Source organism: Homo sapiens, chromosome 4, assembly GCF_000001405.40.
Source record: "Homo sapiens chromosome 4, GRCh38.p14 Primary Assembly".
Lineage (NCBI taxonomy): Eukaryota > Metazoa > Chordata > Mammalia > Primates > Hominidae > Homo > Homo sapiens.
The window spans coordinates 169123687-169144197 of record NC_000004.12 but is presented as its reverse complement, the minus strand read 5'-3'; the positions used below and the strand labels follow the sequence as shown (position 1 = coordinate 169144197).

Sequence of the window (20511 nt, the reverse complement as noted above, 5' to 3'; positions counted from 1 at the left end):
GTAAGAATAACTCATGTTCATATAGCACTTTACATGTTACAGAGCACTTTAACCCATGCCCATTTCTACCTGGGGTGTGTAAAATTGATGTTACCTTCCCATTTTGTACAGCTAGGGAAACCAAAACCATGGAATTTATGTGGTCCACCCAAGATTACTGAACCAGTGAGGACAAAGACCTAACTCTAACCTAAACCTTTCGGTGTGAAGTTCAGGGCTTTTCCTGTGGTTTTCTCTGACAGTCCCTTTTTCAGCTACCTCAGCTAAAATTCTTTTTAGGCTTTTAATGACATGTACCCTCTTTTTATACCTTACATTTCAAAGTCAGAAACCTGAACAAGAAAATTCTAGTTTATTTTGTTTTTAACAGCTAGGGCCAACAGAAGTGAAGATAATGAAAATAAGTGAAGAGCTACGTAACTGATGTTTCACCTTCCTAACCTAGTGCAGCCAGGTAGTTAACTTTGAAAATCCTTTTCCCTTGGCAGGATGTAGTGAGGCTTGTATTAGGAGTCCGTGTTCCTCCCTGTCCTACTGCTTAAATGAGTAACCCTTGTAGTTGCTGCCAGTGCACTGCTTCAGGACCCAGGAGGCGTCAGAAATGTGGGCCATAGGGAGTCAGGGGAGTCATTTCAGTCTTCTTTTCTCTGTTCAGCAAATTCTTTGTGCTTAATGAGCCTCGGGAGCACAGCCACCCTGTGTTGCAGCTTCTTTCCCTACAGGAGCTATGGAGAGTCTAGAGCTGTGCCATCCAATGCACATGTCGCTGTTGAGCAACTTGCAGCGAGACTCGTCCAAACTGAGTGGGATGGAAGCACTCCGTTCGCACCGGGTTTCAAAGACATAGTACAAAAAAAGAATGTACCCATCTCAGTACTTTTTTACATGGATTACATGTTGAAGTGATCATAGTGTAGATACATTGGGCTAAATAAAATGTATTATTAAAATGAGTTTTACCTATTTCTTTCTGTCTTTTAAAATGTGGCTACCAAAAAATCTAAATTCCAAGTGTGGCTCATATTATATTTCAGTTGCATAGTGTTGGGCTAGAGGCAGCACTTCCTTCCCTTGATAGTTCTAAGAGACAAACATTTTTATTCATTCAACAAATATTTACAGAGACCTTAATGGAGCTGTTACCTGAGGGAGGCTTTCATATCAATTTTAAAAGACTCTTGAGTAATCCCTTCAGTCTCTTAGTTATTCCTCTTCTGTGGGTAAGTCTTGCATTATAAATGAAGTTTGAGCTTGCTTTTATATTTAGGTCATCCAAAAACAAAAACCTTATTACCTAAATTGTAGGGAAGAATAGGAGACAAATGGGAATACCAGTTTCTCATTGCCATTATGGACCATTTTGCAAAGGACTATAATGTGAGGCAAAATATTTTCATGTCTGCTGAGAGGATGTAAATGGGCATGAATTTCCATTCCATAGCATTTCATTCATTCCCTGATATTCTTCAAAGTGACTGACTTATCTGGGGAAGGAACATTGGACTTAGTGATGCAGTAGAATGTTGAAGTGCTACATTTAAAACATGGCATTTCAAACCAGTGAGGAAAAGATGGACTGTTATTTAAATGATGATAGGACAACTGCTGAGTCATGTGGAAAAACAAAGTGCTAAATGCTTTCCCGACCTTATTCTTTATGCAAAACCAGATGGGCATATGGTTCACAGACGGAGATGTAAAAAGAAAGAATGAAAAGAAGGAAACATTTTAAAAAGTAGGAAAAAATGTAGGTTTCTTATTTAAAACAATTGTGGAATGAAAAGGTTTTTAAAGCATGATGTTAAATCAAGATGCAATAGTGGAAAAAAACTGATAAATAACAAATTAGAACATTATTTTTAATTTAATAGACATAAATATATACACACATATATACATATAAGTTAAAGAGCACTTTACATAATATAAAAAGAGTATTTATGGCCAGGCGCAATCGCTCACGCCTGTAATGCCAGCACTGTGGGAGGCCGAGGCAGGCAGATCATCTGAGGTCAGGAGTTTGAGGCCAGCCTGACCAGTATGGTGAAACCCCATCTCTACTAAAAAAATTGCAAATTAAGGCCAGGTGCAGTGGCTCACACCTGTAATCCCAGCACTTTGGGAGGCCGAGGCAGGTGGATCACAAGCTCAGGAGATTGAGATCATCCTGGCTAACACGGTGAAACCCTGTCTATACTAAAAAAATACAAAAACAAAATTAGCCAGGTGTAGTGGCAGGCACCTGTAGTCCCAGCTATTCAGGAGGCTGAGGCCGGAGAATGACGTGAACCTGGGAGGCAGAACTTGCAGTGAGCCGACATCACGCCACTGCACTCCAGCCTGGGCAACAGAGCGAGACTCCATCTCAAAAAAAAAAAAAAAAAAGCAAAAATTAGGCGGGCCATGGTGGCACTTGCCTATAATCTCTGCTACTCAGGAGGCTGAGGCAGGAGAATCACTTGAATCGGGGAGGCAGAGGTTGCACTGAGCTGAGATTGTGCCACTGCACTCTAGCCTCAATGACAGAGGGAGACCCTGTCTCCAAAAAAAAAAAAAAAGTATTTATATCAGTCTATAAGAAAAATACTAACAATCCAATAGAAATATGGATAGAGTATGGAAATAAGCAAATCCTAAAAAAAGAAAATAGATGCTTAATCTCATTAATAAATAGAAATACAAGTTAAAACAATATAATACACCTTGTTACTTCAAAAAACGATTTTTAAACTTACACTTTGATCTAGCAAATTCTACTTTTAGGAGTTTACCCTATGGATATGCTTGTACGAGCCTGCCAAGACATAGTAAATGGCAACGTCTCTATAAAATGGAATACCATGCTATCAGCCTATCCCTATTGATATGCAAAGATGTTCATGAAATATTATTTCATGAGAGAATAGAATGGATTGCTTGGTTTTATTTGTATTAAAAATCAATAAAGTAGATACATGTATAACAACATCTACATAGAAAATGAAGGATATGTTTTAAATTGTTAAATGGAAATCCATCTGGGAAGTGGGTTGGGAAGAGACAGATGTGGGGAACTGGCTGAGGCCTTTTACTTTTTACTTCATAATGTTCTATACCAAGGGTGTCCAATCTTTTGGCTTCCCTGGATCACATTGGAAGAAGAATTGTCCTGGGCCACACATAAAATACACTAACACTATCAATAGCTGATGAGCTTAAAAAAAAAAAAAAAAGAAAAGAAAAAACAAAACCTCAAAAAAAATCTCATAATGTTTTAAGAAAGTTTACAAATTTGTGTTGGGCTACATGTAGAGGACCGTGGGTTGGACAAGCTTGCTCTAGTGGGTTGTGAATTAAAATAATTACTTCTCAGATCTACTGTTTGTATCCTGTAGTGCTCAGAAGCTACAGACTGATTCATCTGTAAAGCTTCCTATAAAATAGTAACTATTCAACTTAGTTCTTATTAAAAAATTTTTTCTCTTTAAAATATTGTAAGTCCCGCCTTTTAAAAAAGGCTATATTCTCTCTAGCAAAGAGGGCAACCATACACACAAAAAAGTTTATTTTAATATTTCTTAAGCTGCCTTGTTGTTTTTATTAATATTATTTTTGTCAGTATTTCATCTCATATTTATTTATACTTCTGATAACTCTCAAAAACACATTCTTTCTACATTTTAGACTTTTTTCCAAAAAGGGGCATAAGAATTTTAAGAGTAATGAATAGAATCCCTGCTTTTATCTCCAGTATACTGAATTTTACCTTATATCCAACCTAAGTCTTATCAAAGCTCCTTACCAAATGCTTGGAAGAAGGTATTTTAGGATACAAATTTATTTTGCAGGTGATGAGTGTACTCCTAACATTAAAGGTCATAGTTAGATAAATGTCACAGAAAGCTCACACTACTGAGCTCAAACATTCATACATGAATTTTATCAAAATTCTACTAAAAGCTATCAGATTCTTGGTTTCCTATTGTTACCAAAGGTTGCTATACTTACAGCAAAAGCTGCTTTATGTTTCTGCCTGATTTACTTAATGCCTCTACCAAATAGTCTTAACTTTATGATTTTCTCTGGAACTGATACAGGAAGCAAGGAGCAGTGTTTTTTAATACTAATATGTGCTGCTTCAGAAGAAATCTCAAGTAATTTTAAAGTATGACAGCATCTTGCTAACAAATATTACTGTCCATGCATAAAAATCAAATGCAGAAAAAATATGCTAGGCTATTTAGAGGAATAGAAATCAAATAGAAAAATGAAACTTGTCCATTTAAAGTGAGATTATGCATTATACATGTGGAGAGCTAAAAGAGACCTAAAAATCATTGGCTCCAACTTACTTTATAGATTAGGAAGCTGTGAACAATAGAGGTAAGATGGCTCCCTTAAGGCCCCAAAGTTAGGTAATGGCTGTGCTAGGACTAGAACTGTGGTCTTCTACTTGCCAGTTGGCTTGTTACACCACTCCAGGATGTGTCTACCTGCATACACATGATTCTGCATAAATTTTTCCAAGCATCCAACCCTATGGTCCAGCAGTTCTACTCCTGGACATGTACCCAATATCCAGATGGGAGCTTATGTCCACCAAAAGACACATAACTAGATTATTCACAGCAGCATTGTTCTTAATAGCCACTGTCTATTGGAAGGAAGGAAGACAGGAAAGGAGGAAAGAAAACCCACATGTTAATCAGCAGTAGAATGGATAGATAAATTATAGTGTATTTACACAATAGAATATTACACAGCAATTTAAAAGAAAGAACTACTGACTCATGGAGCAATATGGATAAATCTCAAAAAGCATATTGTTGAGCAAAAGTAGCTAGACATAAGAAATTATGGAAAGCACTGTGTTATTTTTATGCCTGTTTGTAAGGTCCTTAAGGGCAGAGATCATTTCTCTGCATTTGTAGATCTTTAACACCAAGCACATTATTCAGCACATAATTGGTGCTCAGAGTCCAGGCACAGTGGCTCACGCCTGTAATCCCAGCACTTTGAAAGGCTGAGACAGGAGGATCGCTTGAGCTCAGAAGTTCGACACCAGCTAGATATCATAATGAGACCTCATTGCTACTAAAATTAGCTGGGTGTGGTGTTGCATACCTATAGTCCCAACTACTCAGGAGGTTGAGGCAAGAGGATTGCTTGAGCCCAGGAGTTCGAGGCTGCACTGAGCAATGAATGTGCCACTGCACTTCAGCCAGGGCAACAGAGTGAGACCTTTCCCCCCAGTCCCCCCAAAAATAGATGCTCAATGTGTATTTATTTTAATGGAGAATATATGATATGAAGAAAGACACAAAGGAAGCACCCAGTATTGTTCTGTTGAGAAAGCAGCAGGAAATATTGGGAACAATATTTTAATCCTCAGATGTTTATACCAGAGCACAGCATATGGAAACCTGAAATACTAACACAATGTTGAATATATAACTGACACTTGGCCAGCCAGGTATGATCATGATGAGACTATAGTAATTTTTCAGAACCTTTCAAAACAAGCACCACTAATGGAGTCTATTGTTTGACCCCAGAATTAATCTAAACATGATATCAACTAGATTTGATAGTTTCCTCTATTCATATTTTTTGCCTCAATGAGAAGAAAGTCTTCTCAACTCCCTCCTCTACTTCTTACTCACTGGGACAGGAGTGCTGAGTTGATCAGTCAGTTTCCAGCACACTGATTAGGTTTGCACTTTCAAAGATTTGTTTCTAGGTGTCTAAATAAGCTTATGGTGGAAGAAGACATTCTCTGGCTCCTTTTTCTCCAGCATTGCCAGGTGTGCTGGCCCTTCATTTCATGAGGATGTTGTGTTTGGGATGGAGGAGATGAAGTAGCTTTTCAATCTGCTTTGTTTCCAGGCTCCTTACACCCAACCTGTGCAGGAAAGAGGACCCTACCCCTCCATGGTTCACTGCAGTTTATTAGAGCTCTACAGTGAGGTTCAGGCCACTCCCACTATAATATAAAGCATTACTTTGCTTCATTTGGGCTTTTTATTCTCAAGGTGGGATAGCTAGACCAAGAAAGGATTTGTAAATTCTGGATCTCCTGGCCAATTGCCTTGAAAATGCTTGTAATAGGGCCACCCTCAACTAGAACCTCATTTTCATCCCTAAACACATATCGGAAGAAGTCTTTATGATCTTTCTCCCGCCATTGGTACTTCAGGCATTGACAGGTGTTATTCTGGCGTTACTGCCTATTATTTCTGAATGATTATCATGTGGAGAAACTTCTTAAAGTCTGAAGAAGAGATATGGTCATGTTTGATAAAGATTTATCTTACTAATTATAGATGAGACAAGCCACCTGAATTTGAGTCCCCAAGGAGCCTTAGGAACAAATTGTCAGTCAATTTGCAATCATCTGTAGAAGCAGTGACTGCTGAGCTCCAGTTAACATGGCTTTGTGAGGAAGCGGTTGTTCCAAAGCAAGTTCATTTCATAAAATATTGACTGAGAGAGTTTCCATTCTTCTAGTAGAGTGATCTTATCAACAGGATGAGAAGACATAGCCTGAACAATTTAAGTGGGAAAAATAGTACATGATATTATTTTATATAAAGACATTTGTGAAGTGCCCAATGTGTAATGCCGAGATGGAAAAATCACTGTTTTCCTTAATATTATATTTAAGTTACCTTTTAAAAGTTTATTATTTTGCATCTCAATTTTTTTTGAGAGGTTGAGCTATGTTTCCATTACTGTAATATCTGGGAAAGTTATATGCAGCTTATTGTCACTGAAGCTTTCCAGAAATGTTTTATTTTACCCTAGGGAAAACAAAAGGCTTGTGTTCTTTCCTTTCTTGCTGATAATATCAGTGGAGTGCACAGATTTTGACCCCTGGTACTCTTAATTTACACTGGGGCTTTTCAGATAGATGAAGTTAACTTGCCAATAGGACTTGAATTTCATGTCTTACCCTGTTATGATTTAAAGTACGTGCACATAGGATGATAGCTGATACAATGACATGACAAAAAACATATTAAGAGTTTCTGCCAGCTTTTTGTGAGGTTCTCCCAGAATACAGAAAGAAAGGCAGGAGGTAAATATACATGGAAGCACATGAGTTCATTTTGAATGGTTTTATTCTTTGTCTTCTTGCTCATTTTTACCAAACCCAGAAGTTGCCCCTTCATTGTTCAGTTGTGCTTTGAGCAAATACCCAACCATTATTGTGCAACAGGGTGTCACGAAAAGGGTGATAAATACACCATTTTGATTGCTCTTCTCGAAATTTCACAGTGAGCTGAAATAAATTTTCATTTGTTATTGGCAAGTTTTAAAATCAGACATTATGGAAATTCTTAAGAAAATTGTCTTTTACTCTTTCAGTCTTGCAATGGAATTGTTTATTCTTGATTTAATATCTACCTGTGATATAGATACAATGAAGTCCCAATATTGAGAGAAGAGATATCTCACATGGGAAAAACAGACACTGCATAGGCAAACTTTAAAGTAGTGACTTTAAATTTTGGATGAAATCATGTTGGAAATAAACCTCAGGGAATTCTTAGGAATTGTTTAACCTTCTTGTGTTGGTTTGTTGGTTGCTTTTGCAGTTTAACTCGGCTGCTAAGCAGCTGATAGAATGGGATAAGCCTCCTGTGCCAGGAGTTGATGCTGGAGAATGTTCCTCGGCAGCAGCCCAGAGCAGCACTGCCCCAAAGCACTCCGACACCAAGAAGAACACCAAAAAGCGGCACTCCTTCACTTCCCTCACTATGGCCAACAAGTCCTCCCAGGCATCCCAGAACCGCCACTCCATGGAGATCAGCCCCCCTGTCCTCATCAGCTCCAGCAACCCCACTGCTGCTGCACGGATCAGCGAGCTGTCTGGGCTCTCCTGCAGTGCCCCTTCTCAGGTAAATCCTCAAACAAGTGTTATATAAAAAGAGCTCACCCACAAAAGGATCAACTTACAAACATGTTTGCTCACTGGCTGACAAACATTGCTTATTTTGAACTTCTGAAGATAGTAACTTTTCTGGGAAGCAAAACCTGTCTTCATTTTGTAAGTGGAAAAATGGAGAAGGGAAAGCTAACTTGAGTGTATCAACCCAGAACTAACTACTCTGTCATTTTCAAAGGAAAGATCAGAACTTACAAGATGAGTTATATAATACTTACCAGTTTCACCAAGCAATCACTCAGCCTTACAGAACTTTCTCACAGTACTGCTTTGGGAGATCTTGCCAACTAAAACTTTATCTCCACCCAGATTTAAGATGCCATGGTCCAAACTCGTGACGTTTGTAGTTGCTTGTATCTATGTAACTTACCTTAATATGTAGGCTTCCCAGAATTATAGAGAAGAGAAAAAGAGCAAGGACAGAAAGAAGCATTTAATTTAAATTAGAAATTGACCTCACACTTTCTAAGTTCATTAGTTCATTACAACTTTGGACTGGTATGTAAAAAATAGCCACGCGTTATTCTTAGGTTTATAAAAATACATGGGATGACTGGGGCATTCATTCAATCATTCATTCATTCATTTGGCAGACATTTATTGAGCACTTTACTATTAGACCCTTCTAGGCACTGTGTATACCATGATATCTAAAATATAGCAATTTGCTGTGTTAGGCTTTAATTCTGCACTACAAAAAGAACCTAATTATAACCCTGCCCAAGCCACGGGGCTGCTATCATTATCCACTTAGGTGATGGCTGTATTTTGTTCAACTTAAAGGTCAAAGAATCTAGTTCAAAGCTGCCTGTCACAAGCAGAAGGAATTTCTTTCAAGTCTCATGTTTCATCTTGAAAATTCATGCAGATTTTACATTCTGCTCCACCATATAGCTATGGTGGTTTTTTTTTCTTTAAACATTAAAATGAAATTATGTCCCCTTAAAGAAAAAGAAAGAAATACCAGTCCTGGTCCTCAAAAAGTTTACATTCTAGTAAGTGCCTATTTTGGACCACAGAATGAAAATGTAAAATACAGTTTTTGATATCCCTTGCCATTTTTTTCTCAGCCTCATGTTTGTTTGTTTGTTTGTTTTTAATAGAGATGGGGTCTCACCTTGTTGCCCAGGCTGGTAACAAGCTCTTGGCCTCAAGTGAACATCCTACCTGGGCCTCCCAAAGTGGTGGGATTACAAGTATGAGCCACAGCCTCAGCCTCATTTATTTGACCCTGCTCCTTTAGATTTATACTGCGTGTTTCAAGTTAAATGCATTCACTTTCTGAATGGGATTGTGGGATTGTTGTTTTGTGGCATTTTTAGGTGGTAGGGCCATGAAACTCTTATTGAGAAATAAAGACACGCACAACGCACAACTAGAACATGAGTGCAGTGAAGGCAAGGGTCTTTGTTTTGTACACTGATTATATTCTAAGTGGCAGACATAAGACATGCAGAAAGCACTCAACATGTATTTGTTGGATGAATGAGTCACTTGAAAAATGGGTAGAGAGGGGAACCATGTCATTTTACATTTAACTAATCATATCCGTGTGAGAAAAAGACATGGATCATAGATCAGAGTAGGAAGGGCAAAGTGAGGTTAATCCAGAAAGGTTCAGAACTAAAGATTTTTGAGTAAGGTTCTGAAGGAGGGAGCTAGTGAAGATGGCCACTCACTAACAGAAAATGGAATCATTTTGATTCTGTGCTTTTTATCTTGGGACCTAGCAACATTTGCACAATGATGTTGTCTTGAAATAAAAGACAAGCTTCTGCCAAGAATAGTGACAGCTCAGAATGGGAATAGCTTTAAGAGAGTGGACAATAATCTTTTGGCATTAGAGAAAATGAAAAGAGAAAAGAAGATATACTGAGCATTTTCATCTTTTGCAGAGAGCTCAGCATTCAGGTGTGAGCATGCCTGACGTTACCACACCAGAGCTGGGAATGAAGACTATAAAAGTAGAGCTATTTTTGTTTTGGTTCAAGTAGCTTAGGAAACAAGGCTCTTTCTGTGTTCCATTAAAAGTTTCCCCTTCAACCATTCCACCCCTCCTTCCATATTCCAGTTTGTTCTGTTTTCAGTGGCAGAGTGTTGCCTCAGGGAGAAGTTATTTCTAGAAGAGGCTGGGAGGTGTTTGAAGTGCTGCCTGGTTTCTCCAGCCGAGGTTTACAGAAAACACTACTTATCTAGGGCACTGTGTACATTGGAGGGCACCCCAGGCCACAATAGAGCATTGAGCATGTGTAGCATTTGTGACGTGCAAAAACTCTTCCAACCATGGAGATCAGTGCGTATGGGGAAATGGCTCATGTAAGACCATTTAAAACAGGACTCTCCTTTTCCCCTGCCCAGCAAAGAGCCTGGCTGTAGATTTAACTGAGACCCATTGCTAAATCTGTTCCCTGCTATTGACCTGATTGCTGTCTTCCTTTTCCTTACACATGTTAACCTTTGCCTACAATTTCCTTTCCTTTTCTTTTCTTTTTTTTTGAGATGGAGTCTCACTCTGTCACCAAGGCTAGAGTGCAGTGGCACTGTCTGCTCACTGCAACCTCCGTCTCCTGGGTTCAAGCAATTCTCCTGCCTCAGCCTCCCAAGTAGCTGGGATTACAGGCGCCACCACCACACCCGGCTAGTTTTTATATTTTTAGTAGAGATGGGGTTTCACCATGTTGGCCAGGCTGGTCTCGAACTCCTGACCTCAGGTGATCCACCTACTTCAGCCTCCCCAAGTGCTGGGATTACAGGTGTGAGCCACCACGCACAGCCTCTTTTTTTTTTCTTTTTTTGAGATGGAGTTTTGCTGTTGTCTCCCAGGCTGGAGTGCAGTGGCACAATCTTGGCTCACTGCAACCTTCGCCTCCCAGGTTCAAGCAATTCTCCTGCCTCAGCCTCCTGAGTAGCTGGGATTACAGGTGTGTGCCACCACACCCGTCTAATTTTTGTAGTTTTTTAGTATAGTTAGGATTAAGTTTGGCTGAATTGATTAGAAAATTGAAAGTAAGGGGCTTAAAAATGTTAGTATTCATTTTTATCTCATCCCAATGAAATCTAGATATAGGCAGTTGGATGCTGGCATAATAGCACCACAAAGTTATTAGGGACCTCGGCACCTTCCAGCTCATGTCTACACCATATAAGTGGGTCCTTATGCCCTGGTTTCTATATGGCAATTAGAGATGTCACTGTCACGTCCAAATTGCTGGCAGCTGGAAGGTGAAAGGGACAAGTTGGAAGCCAAAGGGCTTGCTTGCTATTATATTTAGTGACTATTGAGTGATGGCTGAACTTTCAAATACATAAATTGAAAGATTACTTATAGGCAGTGCTTTCCAGGTGGGTCGCCAGATCAGATAGATGTTCATGAGTGTCTGTGACTGTGACATGAGTGTCTGTAAAAGCACATGGTGGTACAAGCAGCCAAGATGTTTTGTCTCCTCCTCTGACCACACTTAGGATATTTTTTGGCCTCCAGAGGAGTGATTCATAATATTCAGTGTTTCTATGGCATCTTTGTATTCAGTGGCCTCAGGGAAAGCAATAAACCCCCACCCCCACCTCCTTTTTGCTTACCCCAACTCTTCCCCACCTTACTTAGCCTTTCTTGCAGAGGAGACAACTAATTTTTGCAGTTCCATGAGAAAAGGGTAAGCCCAGCAGAAACTCAGGTTGTCCCTATTCAGGGCATTTATTCTAGACATACTCACCCTTCAGACTGGTTTACTTCTACTTTTTGTCCTTCTGCGTTTAGTCATTCTTTGGTGACTTTGTCTCTTCCTTTGCTGCAGTGCTAGGAAAGCCCTGTATTGAAGGGGTACTTGCAGGATTCTCCATGTCAGTGCTTCCCTGAAGTGCCTGTGATGGCAGACACCTTAGGTAGCCTCTGGTCCACCTGCTCACAGGGGCCTAGAGACATGAAGGGACTTATCCCAAAACCATGAGGTCATTAACAGCTAATTATTCTGTCTCCCACTCTGGGCTTTTAGAGAAATGTCAATCAATAATGATATCTTTCTCAGATATGTATAGGGTCAGGCCCAGGAAGTTGTATTTTGGTAAGTTTTTTTCTGCCCCAAGGGTTCCTTGATAATAATGTCTGTTACCAGTGGAGGGTGTCCATGTACTTCGCGTTTTGAACAAAGAATTGGACAAAACACACAAAGCAAGGAAAGAATGAAGCAACAAAAGCAGAGATTTGTTAAAAATGAAAGTACACGCCAGTGTGGGAGCAGCCCGAGCAGCGGCTCAAGGGCCCTGGATACCGAGTCTTCTCAGGCCCAAATACCCTCTAGAGGTTTCCCATTGGACACTTGGTATTCACCACCTGTAAATGAAGTGCTGGCCCACAATCAGTAGTTGGGGAAAGCAACCAATCAGAGGCTAAAGTGAAGTTAACAGAGTTGCACTTCTATGCAAACAAAGACTTGGCCCACAATCAATGGTTGAGGACAGCAACCAATCAGAGGCTGAAGTGAAGTTACAAAGTTATACTCCTATGCAAATGGCTGATTGGTTACAGAAAGCAACCAGTCAGAGGTACTTTCAGTTTCCCACCTGCGGTTCAGAAAAGGTGGGGGTTTGCAAAGTTGCCTTTGGTCCATTTGTTACTTAGGCGTGGAAAGTTAAGGTTTTCTTTTCAGTTTAGTTCTGGGAAGTCAGCGTGAAACAGCCTTAGGTTCCCTGCCTTCAGACCCTATTCTCCTGCCTCATGTCCACTTTGAAACCAGTGTGCTTCCCGTTAGAAATAGGTTGGAAATAGACTTTGGTTCACAGGAAAAATAGAAAATGAGGGTTTGGAGTTCAAGACCAGCCTGCTCAACATAGTGAGACTCTGTCTAATAAGAAGTGTGACATAGTGAGTCCCTGTCTAATAAAAAATAATGAGGAGAAGAAGAAAAGGAAGAAACTGGGTTTGGGGAGAAACTCTTTTTAGTGCCACCCCCTGGATCTACTTAGTTTCAAACTTTAGTTCAATCAATATATAGACTAATAGATACAGATGAATTTTAAAAGATTGCAGATTCCATGTATAGCATAGATTTATTTGTGAAAATAAATTACATGCCATGATGCTGATTATGCCTGGCTTTGGTCGGGCCTACCCCAGTGGGAAACTGAAAGTTTCCATTAGGTCCTCTGGGAACTAACCTCTGAGCTTTTCTTTGTCCTGACAATCTTTCTTTCAATGTGTGGGAACTGAGAAAACTATGTTTGGGATTACATTTTTATTATAAAACCTAGCATTTTGGGTGGGTTATTGTTTTCTTAGGGAGGCAGGTACCAGCCAACCACATTGCTTCTATTCACACTGGAGGGGAAGAAACACTTCCATTTGTGCAGGAACCCATCCCCCTACTTCTGTAGCTTCTAGTAACACCACTGCATTCTGCAGTTGGACCTGCTATGCAACCTGAGTGAAATTGATCGAGTAACTTAACACAGGCAATGAAATGACCTGAATAACTCAATTTCTTTCTAGTAAATTAATCTTGGGTTGTATCATGGATAAGACACCTTTGAAAACAACTAATTTGGCTTGACATTGTTCCTTTAAAGATTTTATAAGTAATTGCCCGCTCTAAGCATGTCTAGGCAGCTGCATTTTAATTATGCATCCCCACCGAAAGGTAGAAGTCATGAAAAATGATCCTGAAAATAGCAAAATACCTGAAGAATTTCACATAGATTTAACGTATTGATAGACAGGTGAGTGTTCAGCCACTACCCACCTTAACAGGATCTTCAGGGAAATTGTTAGGAGGCTAGTTGAGCACCAGGCTGTCCATTGGAAGGCCAGTTTGATTCATGGTGGCGTACCAAATGAGGCAATGTGTTACCGTGAAAGCCAATGGCAGTTGAATTCTGTAGGTAAGACACTGTTGTGACCAGTATTTATCACATCACTCCCCAGCATCTAGTAAAATGCCTGGTTCAAATTAGGTCACTGGTAAATTTGGGTTGAGCAGACTAAAAGGGATTCTACCTTCCCCAAATAACAGAAAGTACAGATTTTTTTTTTTAATGTGACTTGCCTTTCTAAGGTTTAGCCAGTATATTCTGTTGTATTAAACATAGTCTTCTTTTTAATAACTTTTCTTTTCTCGGCAGGTTCATATAAGTACCACCGGGTTAATTGTGACCCCGCCCCCAAGCAGCCCAGTGACAACTGGCCCCTCGTTTACTTTCCCATCAGATGTTCCCTACCAAGCTGCCCTTGGAGTGAGTATAGTTTCTCCCATTTTTATTTCTCTTTTAGGTCTTTAGTCATGTTAATCTGGCACACTCCACCTCCTAACACCTGCAGCGTATGTTCATACTTGTTAGGTGAGGTGGGTATCTATCTTTCATCTATTATCTCTGTTAATCTTAACAAAACATTAGAAAGTCCCTTGCCTGCATCCTGCAAAATTTTTAACAGTGAGGATCAGTGGCCTGAAGCTATTAGAAGAACTCAAAAATACATTTAATTTTCATTAAAGTTCAACCTGATTTTCTGAAGCTTAACCTTTATTTCTTTTGAGTTTCTAGATCCTGCTTATTTCTTATAAGGACACATTTATGAAAATACTAAGGAAGCAGGTCCTGAAGGTGAATGGTTTACTTTGAGTCACATGACAGATCCGATACCAAATCTCTACATTAAAGATTCATTATTTAATTTCTTGTCTTGTGTCCATATGGTCTGTAGCTGTGGCTGTTTAAAGGCACCTTCAGTCTTGGAAGGCCCCCTTAGATTATGTTGATTTCCCTTCTGAAAACATGACATCCTACAGATAGAGTCTAAACGGCTAATTGCTTAAAAACATCCAAATGGGAAAATAATAGGGAGAATTAGGGTAGCCAGGAGATACAGATACAAAGAAGAGGGCCATTCTGGAAAGAAAATTAAAAGGGAAGCAACAAGCAAATGCAACCTTCGGTAGTAGAGAAAGACTGTTGTTTAAGACCTTGTTTCATAAAATTATAAGCAAGGAACTAGCAGTTGTGAGACATCTCTCATCCAGGCCAAAGCTTTGGCTTATATTTTCTATTTGCTCCAGTGCTGAGTTGAATTACGATAGAAAAGATCATTAAATTAGATTGCCCTAGTACCTACACCAATTGCATCACCCTGCCTGCCCACAGTCGTAAGTTGTGCTGTTTGCAGAGAATGCCATTGGTGTGTCCTGATGATGGGGGTGCAGGCCTGTGGTGAAACAGTCAGGGTTTGAAGCCCAGCTCTGCCATTTATTTGTTATATGACCATGGAAAAGGTACTCTGCCTCTTTAAGCCTCAGTAACCCTAGCCATAAAATAAGTATCTACTTCACAGAGTTAGATCATAGAAAGGGATGAACATTATTGATCTCCTTTTTGGGCTCGGTTGAGGGCTGTTGCAAGTTGGGCCTGGTTTACTTTGTTACAGTTTTCTTTGCTGTCTGTACCAGGAATAGGGAGGCTTCTAAGCAGCTGGTTTGTTTTTAGGTTGTGGGTTTTATACATGTTGTAAAGATTTTATTTCCCTCTGCTAGAGTGCTTAGGACCAGATTTGTAGCCCCTCCAGCAAAGACTCCACAACATAATTAGTCAAAATGTTGGCTCCGGCTAGTTTTATTGTTCTTATTTTCCATTTGCCTTGTTTTTCCTATTTGTTATTTATTTTGTCTTGATACATCTATAAATAATTGAAAACTGATTTAGAAACAAGGTGGGATATAAATAAATGTAGAGTTATTACCTAGCTTGACTTAGGCTTTTGAAAACATTTTAGAGTTAAGCATGTTCTTGTATTTAAATGGAAGCTAATAATGTTGTAGCTAGAGGTTAAAGGTGTTTTTTGTTTGTTTGTTTTATTTTCGTTTTTAATGTTTCCTGAACAGTTACAACTTTCTTGATAGTACAGCTGCTTGGCGAAGGAGAAGATGCCTGGATTCATCTGGGGAGAAGATGAATTTCAGTTAACTTTTAGTGAAATTTGGTTTCCCTGAGATTCTATTAGCCCTGGATATTTGACCAGAGCCAACTTCCTTAACCATCATGACCTCTCATCTCCAGGGGAGACTCTCTCCTTTCCTTCCCACTCACAGTACACATACACAATGAGTTGATATTTTCATTTCCAGATGAGTGCCTTGCATGATAAAATTCTAACTTGATTTCTTAAGGGAAAGAAAAGGACTTAACTTTTCAGATAATAGAAAATTTAATTATAGGTTAAGCATCTCAAATCTGAAATCCAAAATGCTCCCAAATCTGAAACATTTTGAGTGCAAACATGAAGCTCAAAGGAAGTGCTCATTGGAGCATTTCGGATTTCAGATTTTTGGATTTGGGATGCTTAACTGGTGAAGTAAATATTTTAAAATCTAAAAAAATTCAAAATCCGAAACACTTCTGGTCACAAGCATTTGGATAAGGGATATTCAACCTGTAGTGGGAAAAGACATAAGGCTGGCTTAATTTTAGCTCTTGTGGGCTGAAAATTATACAATGTAGTAAATGGCCAGTTACTCTTACCTGGAGGCTCACTCTGAGGCAAATCAATGGGACAGGTCACAAGAGAACATGGATATACAAAAATTAATTTACATTCAGCCATTTTATTTTAGGATTATATAAGAAAACCTGCATGTTAAGCAAGAGGAAGGTTGATTAAACAGTATGTCTACTGTGCCAATTTCATTTAATGAAAAACTAATTATAAACAAACCTGTCTGTCATCCCAGGAGATGTCTAGATCTCAGAGTGCCTGGTAGGTTGGCAGAAATGTTTTAGATTTAATATGTCAGGTTTAAGTGGAAAATCTCAGTAGCAGGAGCCCTCTGCATCTTATATTAATTGTGTCAAGCATTCTATTTAAAATTTGAATTGGTTCCGAAGACTGTGAGTACTATTAACAGCAATGGCACACAGCTTGGTAGAAAAGAAGGCAGGCTTTTCATGGTATAGATTTATAGGCAATAAATGCCACCAGTAGAATAAAAAATGAAAATTATTTCCAATGCTTTTTTTCATGAATTGAGATTTTTAAATCTTTTATGCAGAACGAAGTTATAAACATTGTCCCATACATTTCACATGTAACAGTTAAAATTTTAAATATCCAACATTATGAGCAATACTGGTATTACATGTATCTAATTCAGACATCAAACTATTAATAGTAGTGATTTTTTAAAAATCTCTTTGTAGGGGAGGAGGTTGAAGATCTTAGTCTCGTATCTTCTGCATAATGGCAGAAGGCCTTTTAAAACAAGTGATGAATAATCCCCGATCCTCTGGACCAGCCAAGAGGTGGTTAACTGCAAGGTATTATAAGGTAGTCAGGTCAATAAAGGTAAATACCACTCATGGCCAATTTATAAACAGATTGCATTCCAAATTTTAAAATTTTAGTCTGGGTGTGATGGCCCATGCCTATAATCCCAGCACTTTGGGAGCCTGAGGTAGGAGGATCACTTGAGGCCAGGAGTTCGAGACCAGCATGGGCAACATAGAAAGACCCTGTCTCTACAAAAAAAAAATTTTTTTTTAATTAGCTGGGCATGGTGGTGCATGCCTGTAGTCCCAGCTACTCGGGAGGCTGAGGCAGGAGGATCACTTGAGCCCAGGAGGTTGAGACTGCAGTAAACCATGATTGTGCCACTGCACTCCAGCCAGGACTAGATGCTGTTCCTAAAAAAAACAAAAATAAAAATAATAAAAATTTTATACACATACATGTTTGTATGTGTGTATTTAAACAAAGTTGAATGTCAGATTCTCAGAATAGCCAATATGTAGCCATGGTGGAGGCTAAGCAGAACTTACTGTTGTTGGTGGGTTCAGGGAATTGGAAGTAGAGGATGAGGCTGCCAACCTTGCTAGTTTGAAAGTTAGAAGTAGAGCCTTTGGAATTGGCAGGAGATCTAAAAATCAGGGTGAAGAGTAGGATATGGTCAGAACTTTCATAGCAGCAACAGGAAAGGATTCTAGCATCTCGGGAACTGAGACCTCTTATTCCATACCATATTGTTCTAAGAAGGGGATAGAAGCACATAGTGTATTTTCATTCATGAAATGCTCATTGAGGATCTGTTATCTTCTAGCTGCAAAGCTAGGTGCCACCAATACAAAGACGGGTGAGACAGTCCCTGACTTCACAATCTCATTAATCATAACAATAGCTTCTATTTATTGAGCTTCTGCTGTGTTCCAGGGCACTGGGAAAGACAATTTACATAAACTATTTCTAATTATTAACTCCATCTCTCAGGTTGGTATAGTGAAACATAGAGACCTTATGGAATTTACAGAGTCACTTAACTGATATACATATCTCTCTTGTTTCTTGTAGATCAAATGTGGAACAAAAAATTTATAATTTATGCATGTAGATGGTAATGCTGCTGAACTTGGTAACACTGTTGACCAATTTCAACAGGCATCTCCATGTAGTAGCTTGAACCATTCCCTCATCAACCAGTATTCATGCATCTGAGTTCAGTACACACAAGGACTGTTCAGACATGTTGATATGTAGGGTTGAAAGTGGGCTGAATGGAAATCAGACATTTAGAAAGAAATAGTGGTAGATTAGAGAATATTAATAATATTTGCCCAAGGGACCCAGAAAGGCTTAGTCTATCTTGCCAGTCACTTTTCTACCCTGGGAGTGTGTGAGGGAGATACACACGTAAGAGACAATTAGAAAGGAAATGAACCCTTTATTTTCAGTTGAACTTGTGTCCAAAGCTCCAATGCAAAGCACTTTACTGGCAAGCTGGCCTGTAGCCCTTGGCCCAAGTTTGAGACGTACTGGACTACTTCCCCTCTCTTTAGCCAGATCCTAAGATCCAATCACTACCTGGGCGGGTTGCATGAAAGGGCAAGCAGAGGGGAGAGTGCCAGAAGGGAGAAGTTTCACACCCATATACTTGAACTTTTCACTCACAGTGTCACTAGCATTGTCACCTGCCAGTGTTCTGAAATGCTGCCCACTCAGAGAGAAGACACTTCTTCCCTGGGTGCTCACTCTAGCAAGGGAAGGAAGTCGAGGACTGCCCCAAGAGGCTGAGCCAGGGTTGGAATCTATGTTTTTTTTTGACCCCAAAGGCCATGCTCCTTCAGTGATGTAACACTGTCTCTTCTTTCAAGATCACTGGGTCAGGAGAAGAGAACCTGGACATGGCAAAATATGACCATTTCCCATTAGCACACCATTCTTAAGTCCTAGTTTTGGTGAGCAGAATATTGTTAACAAAATGTGAATTTTGTGTCATTTTCTAGAAGGTCCATAGCTGTTTTTTGCCTGTAGTAGAGAGTGTATACTTGGCCTCTGGTGCCTGGGCTGGCCTGGACTATGAAATAATAAGCAGGACTCCAGGTCACCTCCGGGTGAATGAAAGGCTACGTGTGGTTTTACTCTGTGGAAATTTCAGGTCTTGCAGGACAGCAAACTGCCTGAAGCACAATACACAGTGGATTACCTTTTGAACTTCCACATCACCAGATTATTTTGGTTTAGGTTGTTTATAAAGCAACCCACAAAATTTCCTAGTCTGTCACAGCTCTGGAGTCACCAGAACCCTATCATTTCACCAACCCCACAGGGGCAAGCAACATCTAGGAATCTGATTTTAATCAGAGTTTCTTGATCTTCATCTGTTTGCTCACATACACACAAATTTACACATGCAAACATGCATGCACTGGGAAAAGATCTGCCCAATTGTATTAAACCATTTATGTTTCAGCCACAGAAAGTGAGAGAGAACTCTTTTCTGTCAGGAAGAACCTTTGGGATCTTTCAGAATATCCTCTTTGATGCCATATCTTAATGTCTAACTCTCACTGTTTGCAAAAGTAATGTACATGAAACATTTAACTTAGTGTATTTTGTGACAAGAAGTGATTTTATATTTTATTACAAAATTTTATTTATATTACAAAAGATGACATGTTTTTATCAGGTGCATAGATGATTTTTGTCCTTTTCTTTTTAGGTCAAATTAGTACAGCCTCTGTTTTAATAAAGTTAAGCTATAATAGATGATTTTAATTTCTGTTTGAGCACATGCCATTAGTTTTCTGCCTTTCCACAGCCACACTGTTTTGAGATTGAGCTTAGAAAGATTTAAATGGAAATCAGTGAAGTGGTAATTTTACAGTTTCTCCATATATTACTCTATATACAGTGTAGACCGATTATCTCACCTGTCAAACTGCTGATGCATTATTATCCATGAACTGTCCAGGTCACATTTGCTGTGACCAGGATTATCTTTATCTCTGCTTTGTCACTGGAAAGAAGCCTAACAGGATAAATGCTTGCCCTTCTCCTGGTTAAAGGTTTTGGAGGCTCTAAGCCTCAGTACATGCAAATTCCAGAGCTATAACAATTTTTTTTTTTTTTGAGACGGAGTCTTGCTCTGTCACCCAGGTTGGAGTGCAGTGGCGCAATCTTGGCTCACTGCAAGCTCCGCCTCCCGGGTTCACGCCATTCTCCTGCCTCAGCCTCCCGAGTAGCTGGGACTACTGGCACCCGCCATCACACCCGGCTAATTTTTTTGTATTTTTAGTAGAGATGGGGTTTCACCGTGTTAGCCAAAATGGTCTCG

General features: G+C 39.5%; 1 protein-coding gene across 1 annotated transcript in view; it reads left to right on the top strand.

Moving 5' to 3' along the window:
- SH3RF1 (SH3 domain containing ring finger 1) overlaps positions 1 to 20511 on the top strand; it is a 176698-nt gene that overhangs the window by 126759 nt on the left and 29428 nt on the right. Inside the window, exons 5-6 of the mRNA NM_020870.4 lie at positions 7578 to 7880; positions 14042 to 14152. Coding sequence (NP_065921.2) covers positions 7578 to 7880; positions 14042 to 14152 — 414 coding nt within the window. The remainder of the gene's footprint in view (positions 1 to 7577; positions 7881 to 14041; positions 14153 to 20511) is intronic.